The 22,631-nt window shown below is 42.5% G+C and overlaps 2 long non-coding RNA genes across 2 annotated transcripts in view, besides 2 other annotated features; one reads left to right on the top strand and one right to left on the bottom strand.

Moving 5' to 3' along the window:
• LOC124902544 (uncharacterized) overlaps window positions 1-8,195 on the top strand; it is a 57,376-nt gene extending 49,181 nt beyond the window's left edge. The window contains exons 2-3 of the long non-coding RNA XR_007062369.1: window positions 4,212-4,379; window positions 7,155-8,195. This is a non-coding gene — a long non-coding RNA (uncharacterized LOC124902544). The remainder of the gene's footprint in view (window positions 1-4,211; window positions 4,380-7,154) is intronic.
• Window positions 200-1,399: an enhancer, noted in NCBI's record as "P300/CBP strongly-dependent group 1 enhancer chr10:44796158-44797357 (GRCh37/hg19 assembly coordinates)". NCBI's record gives its function as "activates an origin of replication core promoter dependent on BRD2, BRD4, P300/CBP, MED14 and CDK7 cofactors, with strong dependence on P300/CBP, by STARR-seq in HCT116 cells {active_cell/tissue: HCT116}" and the evidence as "EXISTENCE:reporter gene assay evidence [ECO:0000049][PMID:35650434]".
• Window positions 3,688-4,189: an enhancer, noted in NCBI's record as "NANOG hESC enhancer chr10:44793368-44793869 (GRCh37/hg19 assembly coordinates)". NCBI's record gives its function as "activates a minimal SCP1, AML or CMV promoter by ChIP-STARR-seq in naive and primed H9 embryonic stem cells {active_cell/tissue: H9 hESC(naive and primed)}" and the evidence as "EXISTENCE:reporter gene assay evidence [ECO:0000049][PMID:30033119]".
• Window positions 7,460-9,359, bottom strand: LINC02881 (long intergenic non-protein coding RNA 2881). The gene is made up of 3 exons (NR_164139.1): window positions 9,176-9,359; window positions 8,620-8,808; window positions 7,460-8,196 (listed from the first exon to the last, which is right to left on the bottom strand). It is a non-coding gene; the product is annotated as a long intergenic non-protein coding RNA 2881 (long non-coding RNA).
• Window positions 9,360-22,631: the final 13,272 nt, after the last annotated feature.

Genomic DNA, 22,631 nt, shown 5'->3' with positions numbered 1-22,631 from the left:
GAAATGAAGAGATGGGGATGGGGGCAGGGAAAATAACACTTGATTATCTAAAATATCTCTATTTCTTAATTTTTAATTTATTTGGTGACAGTAATACAGAAAGCTGGAATAATGCCAAGCAGCCATGTGTCATACAACGAATAACTTGTCCTGCTGTGTGCTGTATTAAAAGGACTTTTTGAATGACTACATTATGGACACATTGAGTGCTCTGATCCAGAAGAGTCCATGGTGCCTTCAGACAAGAGCCCTGGGCACCTCTGTAGCAACGTGTCCCCTACTTCTCACTGTCCCCAAAGGTTTTCCTGAAATCCTGCCTTAGATATCAAGGAGGCCATTGTCATGGCCTCCTTCAGCACAGACCTTATTATTTCCTTATTGGAGCTGTCAAAAAATCTTGGGATGGTTCTTTTCTCAAGAATCATCCTTTGACACTTGCTAGTCTGTCCTAGAGCCTAGGAACATTCCCAGCTTTCTGCTCCTTTCTCTCCTTTTGCTGTCTAGGCCTTGCATACCCTGTGCTGGCTCCTGGCTCCTGGCCCTGCCTGGTGTGCTGAGCTGGCACCATCATCCCCTGGAGTCGGCTCAGGGCCAACAAATTTCTGACACAAGGAGATTAATTAGGTCCAGGGAAGCGAGAAGCAGGTGCTGTGAGTCATGTGGCGATCAGCTGTGCTTTCTCTATGATAGAATGCAAATGATCCCACACACTCAAATTCCCAGCATCATCATGACCATCATGACTGATCAGACCATGGCCACAGGGATTTTAACTCCAGTGATGACGGGCAGTGAGGTCAGCTACATCTCAAATCAAGAAAGACAGACAAGTCGGTAAACCAGCTTCTGTGAATCAGAACCATTGACCACATCTAATTCCAGGGAGCAGAGCCAAGGCTGCAGCCTGAGGGCATGTCTGTCACTAAGGCTGGTGAGATGCTGAGTCATTTAGTTTCCAGCAATTAGGCATCTTCTGCTCAAGCAAAAAGTAGCCAGATGACTATCTGGTGAGGTAAGCTGTAGTAATAATATGAACAATCATAATTGATTTGCATTGTGATGCCTACATCTAAAAGTACCTCCATTTATTTCTTTATGTTGTTGTGCATGTATTCATTCATTCAATGGACATCTTTTTGAGCTCAAAAGATGAGGAAACTACTGTGCTGGGCCTTAATGGCCCTTGCCATCAAGAAACTCAGGGTCTCTTGGGGAATGATACAAACACAAGACTCACAGCATCCAGTTAAAATGCCATGCTTTCTGTTATACCAGGCACCATGGAAACACCGTGGGAAGGCTGGAGAACTCTGCTTCTGGACGTGTTCATTCAGGCCCATCCTTGTCTCCACCTCACTTACTCTCTTCACTTCTGGCAGGGCTGAATGCCCTCATTTTACCCAACACCAGGAATCTCCAAGGAACCCCAGAAAGTTGCAGGACCCTGGACTCCTTTCTTGTAGCTAGGGGTCAGGTCAGGCACATGCACATCAGCTGCCGGGGAGGAAGTGGGGTGCAGGGATGCAGACCGGGCTGCAAAATAGCCTCTCAACATCCCAGCCTCTCTGCAGGAGAGATGCTGCCCGTGGCCACTCCAGAGTTGGTGGACCTCATTCATGTCTCCAGGAGAGATAAACGACTTTAACAAAACCCAGCAATATTAGCAAAGCCTGTGGCCAGAACATTTCAGTGAGTAATTTTAATGCCCAGGTGTGTAGCATGGCACAGAAAAACATCTTTGAGGATGGATTAACAACACATTTTGCCATCCCCTGAGAGATTTTACCCTGAACGCACACATCTCTAAGAGATGGTGTGGTCCCTATCATTAGATTGTTATGAAGAATGCTTTAGGAAGTCTCTCCCAGGTGCCAAGGCTCCTCTGGGAAAAGGTTCAAAGGGTGGTGGGCCAGTCCTCTGGGCACATGCATTCCTGGTGCAGACCACCAGAATTGTGCCAGTAGTAGCTAAGGGTGTTAGCAAGTCCTGGTGCATGCCACGGTGCAGGCCCAGGCAGCCAGCCTGTGCTCTTCATTCTGGGACAGTGCTGTCCTGGACTGTCCTTTATGACCACCCCCAGCCTTGGTTCTGCAGTGGGGCATGGTTGTGTGCTGGTGGCAACAAGGACACGCCCTGACCCTCTGCTCCCTCTCTTGTTCTCCTTTTGTTTTAACATTTTCCTCAGATTATAGAATTACCACATGCCAACTATTATGAGCTGAATTGGGCCTTCCCACCCACAAATCCATGTGTTAAAGCCCTAACCCCTAGCACCTCAGAATGTGACTGTATTTGGAGATAGGATCTTTAAAGAAGTAAATAAGTTAAATGAGATCATTAGGGTGGGCTCTCATCAAATTTGACTGATGTCCTTCTAAGAAGATGGGGACACAGACACACACAGGGGGAAGACCACGTGAAGACACAGGGCATCTGCAAGCCAAGGAGAGAGAGAGGCCTCAGGACTCTGCCAGCACCTTGAGCTCAGTCTTCCAGCCTCCACAACTGTGAGAGAATAAATTTTCATTGTTTCAGCCCCCAGTCTGTGGTATTTTGTTATGGTAGCCCTAGCAAACTAATACACCTTCCACAGAAAATTGAGGAGATATACACAAATTTAGATTGTGAAAATAATGACTATTTTTCTAAATCTCTCTACCCAGAGAAAATTTCAGTTACTATTTCAGTCATTTTTCTTACAGTTTAAAAATCCATATTATATAGAGAGACAAATTGACAGTGGTGGTAGTTAGAGATTACATTCTGTATCCAACTTGCCTTCTGAATTGACATTGCATGAATGAGTACCGCCTTATGTCAATAGGTTCGGGCCATAATTTAATCATTGGTAATATTGGGGGTCATGCTTTATTCTAGACAGACAGACCCACACACCCTACTTTTTAATTATATTATCCATACTGTTCTTTTTCCAGATTTCCTTATTTAGTAGTCAATATGGATAGATTTCTATGTTCATAAACATGGATTTGTGTCATATGTAAATTTTTGGATAATATTTTATAGAACAGGGTTATGAGTTTTCTTTAAACCTATATTGATGGTCATTTAAAATTTTTCATTTCTTTTTTTTTTTTTGTTAAAAATGAAAGCACTGTGAGGACTGCCTGATCGCATAGCTATGCACCCTGGAACTCTTTCTTTAGAACCAGTTCTGAGGCTGCAGTGCCTACGGTGGAGTTGAGGGAGTGTTTGCTTCCAATTCCTGCCTGTTGTCCTGGAGGTTGGCTGCGACTCTATCCCCAACAGCAGTTTATGGGCAAGGGTGTCCATAATCTTTTTGCACATTTAACATTCTCAATCTAGGCTGGTTTGGGGCTATAAATTATACCTCACTGGGGCTTTTACAAATTTATTGGTCATTTGCATTTCGTTTTATTTGAATTGCCTGTTTGTATTCTCTTTCTGCTTCTAAAAGTTGGTGTGTTTGCCTTTTCCTAACAGTTTTATAAGATCTTTTTAGGTAATAGCAATTTTAATTCTTTTATATGTATTTGGCAATTCCCTTCCTGCTCGCTATTCCCCCCAGTTTTCCTTATCTCTTAATTTTGTACATGGCAGGTTTTTATTTTATTTCAGAGCACATTTTAAGTTTTTATGTATTAACATCTATTAGTCTTTTCCTTATATTACTTCAGATTTTGGTTGCCTGCTTAGAAAGCACTTTCACACCCAGATATTCATACAATTTTCACTAAATGTTTTCTTTTACTGCCCTTATGATTTTTTTTAAATATTAAAAATATTTAGCCCATCTGGAATTCATTTTGGTGTGAGGTATGAGGTAGGACTGTAACACTATTTTCCCCTAAGATGGTTAGTAGGTTGTCACAACGCATTCCCCACTAATCTGTCCTTTTCCTGGAGATTTAAAGAGACACCTTTACATGTGTATGTGCTCTTGTGGGCCCCGCACAGCGGAAGGCATCCTGGCATTGTGAGAGTGCAAAACCTGCCGGGGAAGCCCCTCGGTGTCTCTCTTCTGTTATCAGCATTTGTATTGCTAGTTCAGTCATTTTTCCAGATGACTTTTAGAATGCATGCTGTTGCGATGTTAATTGACACTTTGCTATATTTATGGATTACTTTGCAGAGAATTAGAATAGTCTTGTTATCTAAATACAGCAAACATTTTATTTCTTCCTTTCCAGTATTTGCATAATTAACATATCTCTCTTTCCTCCTTGGAGTTGCTAGAATATGGCTGTACGGCAATGCTGAGACATCACGCTGAGCGAGAGTGGACATCCTCATTTTATTCCTACCCTTACCGTGGATCTCTCCTGTGCTTCACCACTCAGTATAATGCTGGCTGAGCTCTTCTGACAAATACCTTCCAAGATGTGAGGAAAACACACGTAGGTGCAGTTGTTGAATTGTATGATCTGCCACTGAAGTAATTAGTGTGATAATTACTTGGATTTTCTCCTTTAACAAATTATTGTTATAAATTATATTAATATATGTCATGCTAATAAATTATTTCCATATTCCTAGGAATAAAGCTGGGTAGTTTGTGGTATATTATTCTTTGAATTTATTCCTGGATTTAACGTAAAAATATTTTATAGGGAAGTGTTATATCTATACTCTTAAGTGCAATTGTTCTATAGATGCTTTTCATTGTTATCTTTGTTGAGTTTGGGCTTAAATGTGATGCTAGTCTTATATAATCAGTTTCAAACAATTTCTAAACTTTCTATGCTTTGGGAACTTTAAAATAGCATCATACTGAATTATTTCCCTCAAAGTCTGATAAAAATCATCTATGACCTGGATTACTTATAAGGGATCCAAAGGAAGGTGGGAAGGAAGTAATTTGCATTTGAAAAAAGCTTTCCCTCCTTGGGATTGGAGTCCTTTGATCAAAAAAAGTAGTTTTACAGTTCTGTGTGGTTAAAATTCATAATCATTTTGTCATTATTTACTACTTGTACTAAGAGAAAAAGGCTTGTAGAATTTCTACCTTATTTAGAATAGACTTTGTTAGGCCTAATTCATTATCAATATTTATAAATACTGAGTTAATACATTACTTTGTCTCTTTGTGGCTTACAATGTTTTCTATGTAGGTACTATGCCAAGTTTGTTAATTACATTATTCACGCTTTGTATGTCCTTTTTTATCTTGTTAATCCACAAAATTCTGTACAATGTGTTAGAGCTTCTCAGTACCAAACAATTTTATCAAATTTTTATGTTTTATATTTTCACATTATTTCCTCTACTAGTATTTGAAATGCAAATGTTCATGACTTCAATGTCTTCATTGTGGATTGTATATTTTATTAATAATATGATCATTTTTGCCTCATTGACTATTTTTAGGCTTTCTTTCTCTATTTGACATAAATATTCCCTCCCTTGCTTTGTCTATATCTGAATTTATCTGCTAGATCCTCGCCTAACTCCTAAGTGTCAAAGTATCAACCTCTATGCTTCATTTTACTTTAGATGGATCAGGTTTTGCTGTTTGAAGCACTCTAGGTACTTAGCCTTTGGATAGGGAAGTTTAGTCCACTTATTTTTGGATGTATTCTGATAACCAATACATTCAGTAATAGTCTTATTTTATCTTTTACATTTATCACATTTCCAGTATTTCTGATTTTATCTTCCTTTCTTTCAGTGGGTTGATCAGTAATATTTTCCTCTTTCGTTTGTTCAGCATTTGGCAAGTTATTTATCCAATTTCTATTGAATATATTTGGGTATATTTCCAAATATACTGGATATTGGATGTTGGATATATTTGGAAATATTTGGATATTGGATAAAGGATATATTTTCCAGTGATTACTTTTCAGTTTTACAAACCCAAATACAACACACAAAAAATCTTAAACTTACATTTTGCTATAATTATAAAAAATAAAATGGTTCCCATGAAACAGTTTTGGAAGAGAAAGATCTTTACTTCCCTCCCTCCTCCTATCTTCTCATATCAGATGGGGATACCCCAGAGCTGGAGAGGTGGCCAGGGAGAAGTTTGGATTCAGCCTTTTCTGGAGGAAATGAGTTCAGTGTGGCTTTGTCTATGTCACAGAGATCCTATTCAGGGACAGAAAATGATGAGTGAAGCACATGACAATAGAAACGACTATTATGTGGGAGGAGAGGAGGTGAACACGTTGGAATACTGTGTTTCTTTTACAACTGTTTTGTTCTTCTTTTAATTGACCCAGGTTTGAACTGTGCTGTTTATGACAGCTTTTGTTTTCATAAGTATGTGGAATGAGCATTTGAAAACGTGTTTGTGGTGTTGATGGTAGGAGCTGGGTGTAGGAATGTGTACTTTGTGGTGTGCCTGTGGCTTGTGTCTCTGTATGTGGTGTGTGTATGCAGTGTGTGTGGATGTGTGGTATGTTTGTGGTATATGTGTCTATGTGCACAGTTTGTGTGTTTGTGTGATTTGGATGCTGTTTTCTGTGGTATCTGGAAGTATAATGTGGAATTCGTGTAGGCAGTGTGTGTGCCTGTGATGTGTGCATGGTGTGCCCAGTGTGGTATGAGTGGCAAGTGTGTGTCTAGGTGGTATATCATGCACTTGTGTATAGCATACATGGTATCGTGTGCATGTGTGTTGTGGTGTGTGTGGCAAGCGTGTGTGTATTGTGTCGTATGTGTGGGATATTTGTGTGGATGTTGTAATATGTCTGGTGTGTGTGTGTGATGTGTGTAGTGTGTCTGGTGTGTGTGGGTGGTGTAACATGCAGTAGCATACATGGTGTGGCATGATGTGTGGCATGTGTAGGTGCATTTGTGGATGATGTGGTATGTTTAGCATGTGTGACTATGGTGCGGTGCGGTGTGGTGTGTCTTGTGTATATCATATGTGATGTGGGTGGGATGGGTGGTGTGTGTGTATGCATGTGTGGCATGTGTGACTACATGTGTGCTGTGTGCATATGAATGTGTGGTGCGTGTGTATGCATGTGGGGCCTGTGTGTATGTATGTGGGGCATGTGTGTGTAATGTGTGTGTATGCATGTGTGCCATGTGCGTTCTGGTTAGGAGTCTGTCTCTGGAAGGCGACAGAAGGACAATAAGATGCATTTTCACTCCAGGCTGGCAGGTCCTGGTGGGGACTGGGCTGAGAGGACTGAAATGACACAGCCTTGCCTTGCTCCCAGGCCCCACAGAGGCATCCTTTCAGAAATGGCAAGCGCCGCCCCTCAGGATGGGGAGTGTACTGAGGCGGAGGTATTATGACGCATTGCCCAGGAACTGATTACAGCCTTTCTGAAAATATCAGAACAAACCAAAGTACTTTTTTTCTCTCACTCAACAACAATCAACACAGAAGACTTCTGTGACCAAATGTGTGGGTTTTCTCCCCACCACAAGCAAGAAGGCAGTTCTACATCGGACAATTCCAACATCGACACCTTCTACCTGGAGGTGGCCTCACACCCCACAAGCCCAAGCCTCATGTCCCAAGCCTGCCCTCCACTTCCAATGCCAATGGCAAGGTGGTCTTACCTGTGCTTCTGACCCACTGGCGTTCCCACGAATCAATGTTCCCAGGACGCCTCCTAACACTTGAATAATTCGCTAGAGCAGCTCACAGAGCTCAGGGAAAGGCCTACTTACATTTACTATAAAGGATGTTACAGAGGAGAGAGACACAGAGATGCCTGGGGCAAGACATATGAGGAGGGCGAGAAGCTTCCATGCCCTCCTGGGGCTGTCGAACTAAAACGAAGAAGCTGAAAGTTTTGCTCCAAATGCCATTGTTTATCCATTTTTGACCACCTGATCTGTTCCATTAGCTTCAAAAGATGCCTTTTCATTTGTTTCGTTTTGCCTTCGATGGCCTTCCGCCTGCCGCAAGCAACCCTCTAGAATATGGGCCTGTGCTTGGCTTTTCTACACAAACATGAGCAGCCTTCAATTACTGGGGGACATTCATTTCCTCCTTCCAACTAGAGAGCGAGGAGTGTCCCGGGGAGAGTGGGTCCTTGAGCTCCTCTGGGCCTTGCTTGGGACTTGGTCCAGGAGGTTATGGGAAGAAACTGGTTTAGAAGCTGACCTCATGGGTTCGCTATTCTTATGTAACACTTAGGAAGAGCAGAGACCCACGCGATTCAGTCCCAGAGCAATGTTGCGGTCAAGAGAACACAGTCCAGCTACCAACAGTTATTTCAAAATAATTCAAGCTCTTTGTTTATATTTCTGAAAGAAAGAAAGAAAAAAAAAGGGTGGCCCAGCTGGAAACTCGGCTTTAAGTCCCCTTTCAGGGGGCCCTCAGGTGGGCACCTGCTTGGAAACCTCTCCACCCCTCCAAACACCCTTTTCCTCTCTGAGTGTTCATTTGTTGATCCAGATTCTGAATAAATGAAGCCGTACAGAATCCACCTGGCAAAAATGGAAACTGCCTGGAGGCCAGGGCTGAGGGAAGGCCTGGAGCAGAGCCGGTGCGCGACCTCGCAGTGAGCAGGGAGGGCAGGCTGGGGACGTTCACCACCCAGAACGCCTCTGCTCCCCGCAACCCTGAGACTCCAGGCTCCCCTGTTCCTCCCTCCGGGAGACCCTGCCCGTCCTCCCCGCGGGGCTCCTTCGCAGTTCGGGGGAAGGGACGGGTTGCGTCCTCGGGACCTTTCTCTGCAGCCACAGCAGCGCATCCCAGCACCTCCTCCAGGAGCCCCGCCACCTCCTGCCACCCGGACTTTCCCCACAGCGCAGCGTCCCCTCGTCCTCTCAGGGCTGGAACAGCGGTACCCGCAGACAGTGCAAAAGGGAAGTCCCTGTTGCCTTCCCATGCAAACTGTAGGGCGCTTACAGCTGCTGGGAGAGGAAAGGAAAGAAGAAATACAGTGAGTGTGATATGGGTACAAAGAAACCAACACGGAGCTTCCGTGGGCCTAGAAAGGAGCCCCCAGGAGAAGTACACTGGGCCTGCGTCATCGCCTGCCTTCAGCGGGCTCCATCCTTCCCCAGGCCCCCCTCCCCACCCACCTCCCACCCGCGGTCCTCCCGAGGCCCCCCTCCCCGCCCCCCCTTCTCGCTTCCCCATCCCCCTCCCACCCGCGGCCCTCCCGAAGCCCCCCTCCCCACCTCCCCACCTCCATTCTTCGCCTCCCCAACCCCGCTCCGAGTCTCCCCGCCTCCCTATCCCGCCTCCCACCCGCGGCCCTCCCGACGCCCCCTTCACCTCCCCACTCCCGAGGCCCTCCTGAGGCCCCTGGGCTCCCGCTCCTCCGAGTTGCCTGCGGCCGAGTCCTGGCGCGGCCTGGGACTGCCTGTTGGGGGGAGGGGGTGGGGGGGGGTCGTTCCCAAAGAAGGGGAAGGAGGCCTTTCGTGAGCATCTGAGGAGTACATCCTCATTTTGTCTTCTCACTCTGTCCACCCAGAGCCTGTGACCCGGATCCAACCCGCGGCGCACAGACCCCGGCTCTGGGCACCCCTGGTGAGCGCCTTCTGCGCCAGAGCTCCGTACAGCACCAGCCCGCGCTCTCCCCCAGCTTCTGTTCATTTGCTGCAGTCCTGACGGGTCAGTTGCCTGAGCATCCATGCTGCCATCCATACAAACCCAGGCACGCAGAGATGTACATCCTTTACCCAGGGTGACACCATGTGGAGCTGAATCCAAGTCCGGGAGTCTGATGACCGTGTCTGGGCTCTGACCGCGCAGCCGTCTCACAGTGAAACAAATTGCGGACTGGCCTTGTCCTGAGTGGCCTTAGGAAGCTGCAGTGGCCTGCAGTCTCCTGGCCAGTCTGTAGAATTTGGCAAAGATGAGGCACCTTATAGCCTTACATGTTCTTATTTTTCTTTCCTTTTCTCTTCTTTATTTTCTTTTTTAAGGATTTGAATTAGTATATGTAAAGTGCTTAACGCAGGAGCTGGCAGAGAAAGTGGATACTCAGTAAATAACAGCAATTGTTAATTGTAAAAAGCATGCCACTTATCTGGTAAAATCCCCCATTCTAAGCACCCTGTTAAGTAGTTGGTAATTCCTCACTTGAAAGAAATTAAAAAGAATTTTTGTCAGTTTTTTAAAATATTGTTTTATTGTGATAAAATATTCATAACATAAATTTCACTCTTTTAATACTTTTTAAGTGTACAATGCAGATTAATAAGAGAAATGCATACAAATTTATTAACGTGTACACGGGAAAAATAAGGTGATTACCCAATATCCCATGAGGTCCAGATACTTATACAGCGTTTTTTCAGAGAGGAGGGTGGAAGGCGGAATGTAGGTGATTCTGTTGAGGGGCAATAAATTATTATTAAGGAGAATGAATGGGTCAAGAAACAGAGAGTTATTCGTAAATGGTTCTCTTTGAAAATTTAATAAGCTGGAGAAATGGATTATTTTTTTGAAAGCGTCTGTTCAGGTGTGGTCACGTGTTGGTTTTCTTTTCTGCAATAGATAATGAGATAAGAGGGAGGAGAAGGAAAAGTAATTGTTCTCTTTGGTGGGTCTGCAGGGTCTTCATGTAGATAAGGGAGAGGACTCTTCCAGCTTCTGTTGATCTTGAGGGACTTTAATTGAAAATACTCATACCAGGGAGCCATATTTTGGGGCCAAGTTCCCTGCGCTCCTTCAATCCTCCTGTTTGGAACTTCCCTAGAATTTCACATTATCAACAGCTGAATCAGTGATTATGGAGAGATTTGGGTTAGAGGAAAAGAAGGCAAAGAAGGGGAAAAAACAAATTGGGATAAGCAGAAAAGAAAAATAAATAAATATGTTGTCCCATATCTTCTTGAATCAGTCTCTTAGTCCTAAGAGTAGAAGCATTTGGTCAAACAGCTGTGTCCATTCTAGGAGGTGGCACTACAGAGGGGCTGGGCTTCTACAGCTGATGCAGGCAAGCTGGTCTTTAATAAGAGGCATTTCTATGGAAACAAAGAAAAACAAAGGTTTTTCTTAATGTCTGGAATAGTCCATAATAAACTAGTTTTTCTAGAGTCTCAGAAGTATCTTCAGATTGTAGTGGTAATCTTACAGATTTTCCTGGATTATAGTTTGAATTACGTGTTCATGTGAACTTCCTGAGTAGCCCATACATCAGCAGGCACAAAGGCTGTGTACATGTGAGTTGCTGTGCTGACTCCTCCTGAAGTTTATATCAAGTTGTCTAACTTTAGTTTGCAGGGCTTCAAGAAAAGCAGTTTTAAATTCTAGTGATTCCAAGTGAGAAAAATGAGAGAAAAGTTCAAAAGCATTAGTTTGAAGACTTGCAGCCAAGAAAGAATTCAGGATTTAGTCCAAATTGTAGGAAAATAATAAAAACTCAAAAACAATGGGCAAGACTAGAATCTGATAACAGGCATACTGTACTTGTCTTCTGAAATGCAATTTTTCTCTCCCGTTTCCCCGTTTTTACCAAGGATAAATCATAATTATGCTTGACAACATATATCATGATATATCAAAATAATAACATATTCAGAAAAATATGACTAAAAAATTAAACTCCATTATTTATTTGAGATTTGACAATGCTTCCCATATGATTTTAACATACCAAATAAGCTAAATATATCTTTCTTAGATTTCTAGAGGTTACTTTTGGAAAAGATTTAATTTTAGAAACTGAAATTTGACTTTGGGTAGTATATCAAATATTAAAGGTTTAAAACACTTGATCAAATTAGGATCACAGTTCACTGTAAATAATAGTCATTCATTTAACCAAAGCAATAATTCAAAAATTTCAAACAACCTTTACTCTTTGAGAGAGAAGACTCAGTTATCTAAATAATCAAAAGACCTAATAAAGATCTTTTTTTGCAGTTTACTCAAAAGTTGAACAAAAGCCTTTTACTATCCTTATTAATACTACATTAAAATCTTGTTCAAAAGAGGAAAGCATATTCTACATTTGTGTCAGTATATTATTAATGCTAAAGCTAAGTTTAATAAAGACTTATAAATAAATCCATCCAGTCTGAATCAGTTTTGACCATGCAAGATAAGCTTTCCATAAACCTCTTATAATCTTTTATAATTTTCTGTTAAAATTATAGGGAAAACCCTATTGTTCAAACATAGGAGCCAGGACTCTGGCCTTGCATTAGTGTGCTTTTCATATTAATGCTCAATCTTTAGAAAAACTTGAAATAATTCTCGTATAATTTTAGCCAACTTGCTCACACACAAAATTCTTTTCGCAAGATTCATCTTTCACAAACCTACAACTTACTTAAACCTCCAGTTTTGTCTTATACTTTCTCTTTTTGCATTGGGATTCTATAAAAATGTGATTTTCTCTCTTCTTTATTGTTTTGACCACAAAGTCCTCAGTCATGTAAAAGAAAAAAATCACTTTCTCTTTTCAACTTTCTTTGCATCTTACTTCCTTTATATGCTCTATAATAGAGGTTTTTCCTATAGCAAGTAGTTTTAATTATACATATTAGCTATAACATTGACTCTTAGTGCTGCAGGTAGTTAGACAGGCATGAGTGGGGCAGGAAAGGGCTCCCCACCCACTAGGAACATTAGGTGCTGGTTTGGCAATTATCACATTGTCTCTCTAAAAGTGATAAATAAAATAAATAAAACAAAAGTGATAAAAAAGCACCAGAGAGAGGCCATTTCCTGATGGTCAAGTCTGTTTCACTAAAATGTTATTTAACTGAATGCAGGCGCCAGGGAGAAGCAAATTCCTGGACATCTACGTTAAGAGACAAAATGGTGAAGTATGACCTTCTGGGGCCACACCACTGGAAAAGGGAGGAAAGTCTCAGATGGGAATGCATACAACTTCCTGAACACACTGCGCATGCTCACTTCCCAAGGGTAAGGAGGGCACTGCGTATGTGGGCAGCTCCCCCTAAGGGAAGGATCATGGCAAAGAGGCCAGCCTATAAAGTCTTAGAGTCAAGGTTAAACACCACTCTTGACCTTTGGTGCCCACTTGGGTCTCTTCCAAGTGAACCTTCTTTTCTCTCCTGTTCTAACGCCTGTCTAAATAATCTTCCACTCCTGCTCTGAAACTTGCCTCAGTCTCTTTCTGCTATATGCCCCTTAGTTGAATTATTTCTTCTGAGGAGGCAAAAACTGAGATTGCTGCAGATCTGTATGGATTCACCACTGGTAACTTGGATACCTTCCACCGGTAACATTAGTAACCCTAATTTCCAGTGAAAAACCTAAAAAGTAAATTTTGAACTCTTATACCAGTACTTGTAGATGAAAACTATTTCATAACTTTTCCTTATTAACAGATCTAAATATATTTAGTTTTTCTATATCATATAAATGACTCAAGTATTTTATAATTACCTATTAATTTAACATAATATGACTTTAAGATTAAGTTTCTGAAAAAGATTTTTGAAATTATGAAAATTTTGTTTATAAACTTTTATTCCGTTTATATTTATTTAATGTATTCATTCTTAACAATTATGCTTGACTAGTTCGTTAAACAAAGTCAGGCATCATCTCGAGTTATTTCTTTGTTAATCACTTCTGTAACTCATAATGTTAGGCAGTTATCATGTGAAAAAGAGCTCTAAAGTTAAACACATGTTTATTTTGCTGATCAGAAGACACAGCTGTTTTCATTAAACCAATAATGTTAAACGAGTTATTTACTAATGTTTTCCAAGTCATGTGAACTAAAGGCATTTGAGTTAATTTCTATTTTTCTGCTAAAATATTTTATTTAAGCAGTTCCTTTTTCCTTAAGCCAATGAAATAGATATTTTATATATTTTGATAGTGAAATATCACATAAACATGACACATATAAACATACAGACATTCAGACACATGGATAAAAACAGGCTGTATAGCTTTATACAGTTTTTTATTTGCCAGTTTTTAAATAATTTTCTTCCCTCTTTAAACTATTAATCTCTTGATTACCTGTTCCATTGCTCTAGACAGTTGTTACTTAAGCAACCCTAAATTTACACCTTCAAAGGGATGACTCAGGTGAAAGTTTACATCTCCAAGGCACAGAACTTAGATCTAAACACCATTATTTGCTGAAACAAAAAGGACATGGATAAAGGCCCACTCAAAACAAGATTGTCAGGAAAAGTATCCTAAACAAAGGTACGATTTGGTGTATAAACGTTAAGCCAATGTCTTTCTTATTGTAAAAGTTTCTAACGGCTCCTGTGCAGGGAGGTGCCCTTATAAATGGAGATTTCCTTAAAGATATACATTTCTTCTATAAAGAGTGTCAAACTAGCCAGCTAAATGCCAGCAATCTAGTTAGATGGGGGTCTTTCAACTTAGTTTATTTCTTGATTAGGTTACTGACTCAGAGTGGATCCCTTTAATGAATAGGGCAAAGAAAGTATTTGCAGTTTCCCTGGCCTAATATTTGAAATGTAAAAAGCAGCACAACTGGAAGGCAGTGCATCTAGATCTTTAAAAATCAAGGACCCCACTTCTATATGGAGCTGTAGGACCCTCAAAAAAGGGAAGCACCACAGGACCAGGCTGTGCAATGTTTCCGCAGTACTCCTTGGTACAGACATTCCCCTGAGCCTGGTGGGTGACCTAGTGCCAAGCAGGCCTCTCTAGAGCAGCCTGTTCTCCACAGGAATCTTACTGTTTGATGGGGAGTGTTCCCACAGCCTCCAAGTGTTCAAATCTGCCTTTTCATCTGAACACACGAAGAAACAAGTTGCCCCCTGGAGCAGCAAATATTCACTACAACCACTGTCAGCTGCTTCCAAAACTGCAGCTTTGTCCAGTGACTTGTCAGCCATTGCACACACAAAAAGTCAAGTTCTCTCTTACAGTACAAAGTAATTCCTGGGACCCCCCCCAAAGCCAAAGAGATCAGGTAACTTATTGCAAAAGACAGAAGAGTTTTAGACCTGATAGGAACCTGCCCACAATTCTTTGTACTCCACGAGAAAAACAGAAAACTTTCCAAAGGGGGACTGCCTTTTTCTGTAGTTTTCAAGTGGCCTCACAGTCATTTGAAGTCTCCCTTAGTTTCTTCATGTGGTATCAAAAACGGCAAAAAGACAGAGAACCAGAAGTGGAAGGAAATAGAACAATAAGTCTTAGAGGAGCCAAACTGAGGAGTCTTTTTTTTTAAAAGACTAAGTTTTTACATTTTTCTCAGCAAGAATTATGCCAGCAAGATAGAAACAGACAGGCCAAACATTCTTAAACAGGAGTTTTAGTTAACTGAAAAAATTCCCACAAACAAGATCCAAAAAAGGAAAAGATAAAAAACCTTTTTGTTATTTTTACTCAAAAACATTATACCTTAAATATCAGCTTTTATTTAAGCCAACTTCTGACCGTAGAATTCTACATGAAATGTTATCAAATCTCTTATCATTAGAGTTCAGCCACAATGAACATAAAGTAGGTCTCTCATTCAGTTTGTCTGGTATGAAAGCCAGCTTTTTTCTCCAACTGTGCATGCAAATGAATTATTTTAAACATTTCAAAGGATCCCCATATTGGCTACTGCTGCTTAAAAACATCCTGGGTTGGGTGGGTCGACTTTCCTAGGTATTTATAAGATGAAGTGCCATAAATGTTATATACAAATTCAGCTAGTGTTTTAACAGGATTTGATCACAAATGAAAAACCAAGCCCAAATCTTAAACAATAGAAAACCTCTGCAATCTTAAAAAGCATACTATGTCAACTGAGATCACTGGTCCACATTGCCATTCCCATGACCTGAATTCCCAATCCTGAGACAAAGGTAGAAAAACCCAAACCTTCTGTCCTAAGGTAGAGGTGGAAAAAAGCCAGTTCTCTGCAGAGTTCTTTATTGGAACCTCCTATCCAAAGACAGACTGAAGCCCTCAGTCTTAAAGGAAAAAGAGGTTTTGAAAACTGATCCAAATAACATCTAGACTTTCAACAAAAGAGTAGAAGCTTCAAATTCAAGAGAACTCACAAGTTCAATAGAACTTACCTGAAATACCCGTTGGAACTTCTGAAGGCAGAGAGAATGCGATGGGTTCCTGCTGGTGCCAAGCAGGGCTTTCAGAGAGAAACCCTGGAGGGCTGGGGGGAGTAGCTCTGGATCCTGCCAACTACACCACATATGTCGACCTAGAAGGAAGAAGCTGAGTCCAAATTAATATAAGCAGAGAATTTGGGGGATTGGTGGGGGGTGTGGGGGGGCTAAGCTTCAGAATTGAAATTAGGATCATAAATTCAGGTTGCCCTGAATGTACACTCTGATTAACAGTACTTGCAAGTGAATTTCTAAAGGAAAAAAAGAAGTTCCTGAGGTTTTTTTACCAATAATTTACATTAAAATAATGTAAGATTTGATTAGCTATACACTGTTTATTTGTATCACAAAATGACTTTAAACCATTGTCCTCCAGCATAAGTGGGGCTTGACTGAAGTCCCACACTCGGACTCTCTGGGCCTGATGGATTTTGCATCCCTCACGTACCTCAGACTGCCCTGAGCTACTTTTCTTTTCTTAGAGCACACCATCTTTCAGGAAACTCCGCAGGTTTGGATGTTTGGAAGCTCTGCAGATCCAGCCCTTTGGGTTTTTATGGAATCTTCATTATGTAGGCATGCTTGATTAGGTCATTGGCCATTGGTGATCAACTTAACTTCAGCCCTTCTCCCATCCCTGGAGGTTGGGGGATGGAGGGGAAATTCCCAACCCTCAAATCATGCCTGGGTATTTCTGCTGACCAGCATCCCATCCTGAAGCTACCTGGGGGCTGCCAGACATCAGCCTACTCATTAGCATAAAAAGACACTCAACGTTTTGGAAGATTCCGAGGACTTAAGAAGTTGTAAGCCAGGAAAAGGGGAAAACAATAAAATGGTTGCTGAACTATTGGTTACTTTCTGACAAATATGTTCTTTGGTGCAGGTAATTTCATTGTTGTTTGAATATCAGAGTATACTTACACAAACCTAGATGATATAGACTACTACACACCTACACTATGTGTGACGGCCTATTGCTCCTAGGCTACAAACCAGTGCAGCATCCTACTGTACTGAATACTGTCAGCAATTGTAACACAGTGATATTTGTGTATCTAAACATAGAAAAGGTACAGTAAAAACACTGTATAAAAGATTGAAAATGTATACCTGTATAGGGCAATAATCCTATGGGACCACTGTTTTATACGCAGTCCATAATTGACTGAAACATCCCAGGCAGTACATGGCTGTATATTTTTCACAATGTCACAGTCCTACAACCAGATCTTGTCAGTTCAGGATACACTCATTTATTTCCTAATGATAGTGGAATTTCTTCCTGTCAATTGTTGCCAAGATGGCAGATGCAAGACACAAAGGGTGGCCTCAGGGGACAGGACTAGGGAATGATTGTGTGGGGGTGGAGATGCAGTGCAGGAGGGAGGTGTCCAAGGACTCACCTTCTCCCTGGGTGATAGGAGGGCAGAAAGTGACCAGGAGTCCACAGGCGTGCCCCAGCTGAGGCTCAGGTGAAAGGAATTCCTTGCAGACACTCAGTCTTCAGTGTTGTTTGGCTTGTTTGTTCTATGCTGTGCTTCCCTCTCAAGAACTTCAAGCCTTCAGGAATCTGGTCTTAGCAGGTTGAGGGGCACTGGAGACAGACCAGCATGTCCATTTTAGGGACACAGTAAAAGGGAAGGAGGCCCCTGGATGCCCTCCAGGATTGGCTCCAGGGGTGCTACATTCTTTCAAGGGGCACAGAAGATGATGCTGGTGGCCTGCACCTCTGTTGCTGGTGCAGCAGGGGAGCTGCAGCGTGGACACACTGCGGCATGCCTGAGATGGACTGGGAGCTGGAGTGTGCAGCCCCACCTCGTGGAGCACCTTCAGAGGGCCGGGCTTAGCCCTGCTCCTGGAAACAAACAGAGCAGCTCTCCCAGACCTGTCCTGCTGTCTCTGACTTTTCCTCTCCTGATTTCCATCATTTAAAAAAGCAATACTGAATATAAATACATGAATATACCATTTTGGGACATATTAATTTTGAACTATTCTAAATTACACATAAAGTAAAAGTTCCCTTGGCTACTACTGTCCCCCGTTCTAATTGTAGCTGTATCTTCAAAGGTTATCAGTTTGATGTCTGACCTTTTATATACATTTTTACACGTAAAAATTAGTAGTTAACATATTTAACATATTAACATAACATATTATGTTAAACATCTTAACATATTTAGCATTGTATCACACATTGTCATCAAATTCCTTTTTTCACCTATGCCATAGAGATATTTCCAGATCAGAACATAGAGAGGTACCCAATCATCTTAAATGGCTGCACTGCAGTGCAAATACACCCCAATTCCATCTGCAGCCATCTCTGTTGGTGAACTGCCAAATGTTGCAAATGTTGGTGAACATTCGGAGCACTTCCTTTTTATTCTACCTTAAATGATATTTCATGCATGTCTCTTTGAGCAGGTATGTAGTGTTTCTCTAAAATGGCCACCTAGAATTTAAAATGTCAGAATTAAGAAATGTGCACCTAAATTTAACTGATAATGCCAAATTTGTCTTCAAAAGGTCTTGCCAATTGATACTCTCACCAATTGTATCCTTGCCACTGCCAATTTCTTTTTAATTTCTATAAGTCTCATGGGCAGAACAGCAGTCTGGCCTTGCTGTTATAATTTGCATTTCCTTGGTTTGCAGGGAGATTGTGTCTTTTCATGTTTGTTGTCAATCTGGATTCCCTTTTCTGTGAATGCTCTACTCTTATCTCTTGTCCAGTTTGCAATTATTTGCTTTTTTATTGCTTTTGTCATATAAGACTTTACAATTTTGATGTCATGAGACTGATCAAATATTTCTTTAAAGCTGAGCATTCAGTGGACTCCTTTAATCTAAGCGATCTTATTTTTTTCTTCATTTTTAGAGACACTGCGTTATCACTGTCAAGGCAGCTTTGCAGAGAGCTCTACCATCAAAGCCGCCAGGAAGACAGACCTCCACAGGAACCTGGGAGGGCCAGCAGCATGGGGAGGGCCATGTGTAAAGAAAGAAGGCTTGAAGGTGGCCACACAAGGCCAGGGCTCCCCACAGGACGGCGGGAGGTGTGGCACTGATAACAGATATGGCCCAGTGGGATGACATGGCAGACTTCCCACCTGCCTATAGTCCTGAGAAGCGACATGGCTGACTTAGGGAGTTTATTTTAGTTTGCTGTTGGGTGTCAGCTCCTCTAAGACACAAGCTGGTGCTGGCAAAGTAAAAGAAAGCTGGGCTTGCTTGAAAAGTGACTTGATTATATCAACATGTCTAATGTCTCTTGTCTGCTTCTCCTTTGTCTGAGAGATGGGGGAAAGCTGGGAGCAAAGCCAGTCTGTGTCACCTGCATTTGAGCAGCATGTGAGGCCTGCAGACATTTCTCCTGCCAGCTGTCCTTTGGGTGGCAGATGCATTCCCCACATTGCAGTGTGGCATAGATGGGGAGGCAGGGCTTTGAGCTCTCCCCTGTTTTCAACATACACATACTACACCTGCAAGGGCTCACACTACAAGTACAGGTGAAGAAGAGGTGGGAAAGATTTAAGATGTGTGATTTACATGTGGAAATTATATGCATTTTAGAATACATCTATATCTTTACATTTCATGTTATATAGAGCATGCATAGCATGTGTATGTGTATATATATCTATATGTCACAATACATACAGTAAATTGTGGAATCCAGGCAAAGATTCATTTCTGTTTGACTCCAAAGACTCCCCTATCTCCATGGTTTTCAATAGAGTGAAATTCTTAAGAATACAGACCCAGCCACTTACTGGCTGGAAGACCTCACTTTTGTTCTTGTTTCTCAGTTTCCTCATCTGTCAAGTTGGCAAAATAGGATAGTTATCTATTGTGAGGTGTAACTTTGTAATGCATACCAAGAGTTTATGGCCAGGTGCGTAGTCAGACTATTAATTTAGTGATTGTTAGTATTTTCCTCTCTGAGGCCCTCAGAAGATGAACTCAAATGTCCTCAGCTTCCAGCTTGTCTTCCAGGACCCTTGGAGCCTCAGGATGGTTGGGGCCTGCAGGTGCTGGCAGGCCTCGGCTCCACCTCCTTCTGGCTGGGCTGTGTCCTCATGTGTCCTCAGGGCAGGGCTCTGTGTTTGGGCAGCACGCAGGCTGGGTGCTGCTCTCTACCTGAGTTTCTGGACTGAGTTTCAAAATTGACAGGGGAGGGTGGGCTCCTCTCTGGCAGAAAGACCAGAGGGTGGTGGAAGAAGGATGTGAGAGAGAAGGGAACAGAGCATAGGTGGTCCCCACATCCCAAGGCAGGAGGCTGCCAAATGGCGTGGGCTGTGCGTTGCTGGGCCCTGCCTGAAATTCCAGCCTCACCTCTTCACTGACCATTCCATCCACAGTCCTGCTGTGGGCAGAGGACCCAGAGCACCTCCCCACCCTCTACCCACCCCAGCCGCCTAGAAAGGCAAGCCTGGGTCCCCAGCACCCTTGTCCTCAGGGGCTCCTCGTGTCTGACAAACCAGGCTGTTCTGGAGACAAGTGTCGTTTCTGAGAGGTCTCTGCCGGGTGGAGAGGAAGAAGGGCCATTAGAACCATAGAGGAGTGAGCTGCAGCAGGGACAGCTCTGACTCCTGCTTTGACCATGAGGCTGAGGCCACTACTGGCAAAATCTGAGTAACCTCCTAATTGCTAAGCCCAGTGAGGCGCTTTTCTCTCTTCCTGTCTCCTGTTGGCAGCATGCCGCGCTGTTGACCGCTTCCATCTTTCCTTCCTGTCCCGTTCTCCTCCCACCTCCCTCCCCATTCCACCTGGCTTTCCCTCCTTTCCAGATGTTTAGCCCTGCTACTCCAAAGTTTCCCCTGTCTCACACAGATGCCACGTGGTCACCTTGCCGTCAGCTTGCGTGGCAGACGTGGCCCTGGCACACACTGTGAGAAGAGGTGCCATGTTTTAGATTACTTGACTTAGATCCAGAGAACCAGTCAAGGAACCTCATACCCCAGCCAAGCAGGGATCCCGGCAGTATGCCTGGGCCTCAGCTGAGGTGCTGTGTCTGCCAGCAGTGTGGGAGAGCCCTGGGGTTTCACTGTCCTCCTGACCTCGGCTCCTCGGTTGCATTTAGCTGTACCTATTGATCATGGACAGATGCTCGTGGAAGGAAATAGAGAAACAAATGCTCTCCAAGTCCAGGTAGCAGGTACAAAGCACAAACTGCAAAGCTTTAGGGTTTCTGCTGCTAGGTTCTTGGGAGGGGCAGCAAGCACACAAAAAAGAATTTTCAAGGAGTCTGCTGGCATTTGGGCTTGAGAAAATACACAGTTTTGCTGTTGCTTAACCAATGCTGTGTTGTCCAATAGAACGATCCCAGGACCTTCTCCAAGGATGTACTTTGCCAGCCCTTGGAAGCCCTGCCATTTTGCTCAACATGCTTTTGGTTATGTTTTTATGAGGCAGGCAGCATTCCACTCCTATTGGTTCCAAAATCCACAGCTCAGTATGTTTTCCAGAAATCATTTTAATAAAAGACATGTGAAAAAAGTCAAACACCTCTTTAGCGTGCGTACAATGAAATTAAAAAACGGTTACAAAAATACAAGCATTTGGTGGGTAAATCCACTATCAAGGGGCCAAAGGAAAATCCACTCCCAGTTCCTGGGTGAGATATCAGCTTCCCTGAAGGGACAGCATGAATGCTACCTTCCCCAAAGTTTCCTTATAAAAAGGAAGCAAAGGATGCCAAGAAAATGACACAGCTTGGTTTAATTAAATAAGTTGAATGCATGTTTCCCTTCTGTCATGGTAGCTAACTAGAGGTTTCTGGCCTGACTCGCTCAATCCTACCACCCTTTACCCTTCTCAGTCTCTGTTCAGTCCTGAAATCCTGAAATTCTCTAAGGAAAATCCTCCATTATATGAGAGTCCCTGTATCTTGATGGCCTCATCTGGACAAGTTCCTGAGTCTTGACATTGGATTCCTGAACTTCTGAAAAGGCCAGTGTGAAATCCTCTTACATACTGTGAGTGGGGCTATAAACTGGCACAAACTTTATGGTGGAAGATGTCATCAAATCTGTTAAAATAAAATATACTCAATCTTTCACCACGGTTTATGAATAATAATACAGAAATATGTTTGGGGTATATAAAGATGAATATACACGAAATATGTCACAGTCTTGTTTGCAAAAACCCAGCTTTTCATTGACAGGGAACTCATTCAACAAATTATGCCACAACAGAGCACTGGCATCATATGGCATAATCTATGCAATAATACGCTGCCATTGAAAAGACTAAGATGGATCAATTATACAAATTACAATGGAAAGATGCCAGTTGGATCTTAAGTGAAAAACTAAATTTCCATGCAGCATATATAGTGAACATGATCTGCATAAAACATAGTACATGCATAGTTATGCAATTGGAAAAAGTGCATCTTAAATGCAGATGGTGGTTTTGGGAGCTGGGAAAGGGCATGGCAGGATCAGAGAGGACGTTCACCTCCCCAGGTGCTGTAATGGCATGTGTCTCACTTCTGCTGCTACTCATATGATTCATACAGGCATTGCTGTTCAGCACTGCTCAGCTGTTTCCATCAGGCCTGTGATCAAGCCCAGAAGGACCATTCTATAGTCTTCACCTGCCTCATCACGTCCCTTTCCTGACGAAGTAAATAAATATGCTTCAATGGGGAGAGAGCAAAACTGAGGGGGAGGTAATGGGTT

The sequence above is a fragment of the Homo sapiens genome, chromosome 10, assembly GCF_000001405.40.
Source record: "Homo sapiens chromosome 10, GRCh38.p14 Primary Assembly".
Lineage (NCBI taxonomy): Eukaryota > Metazoa > Chordata > Mammalia > Primates > Hominidae > Homo > Homo sapiens.
This window is presented reverse-complemented; position numbering and strand designations above follow the sequence as displayed.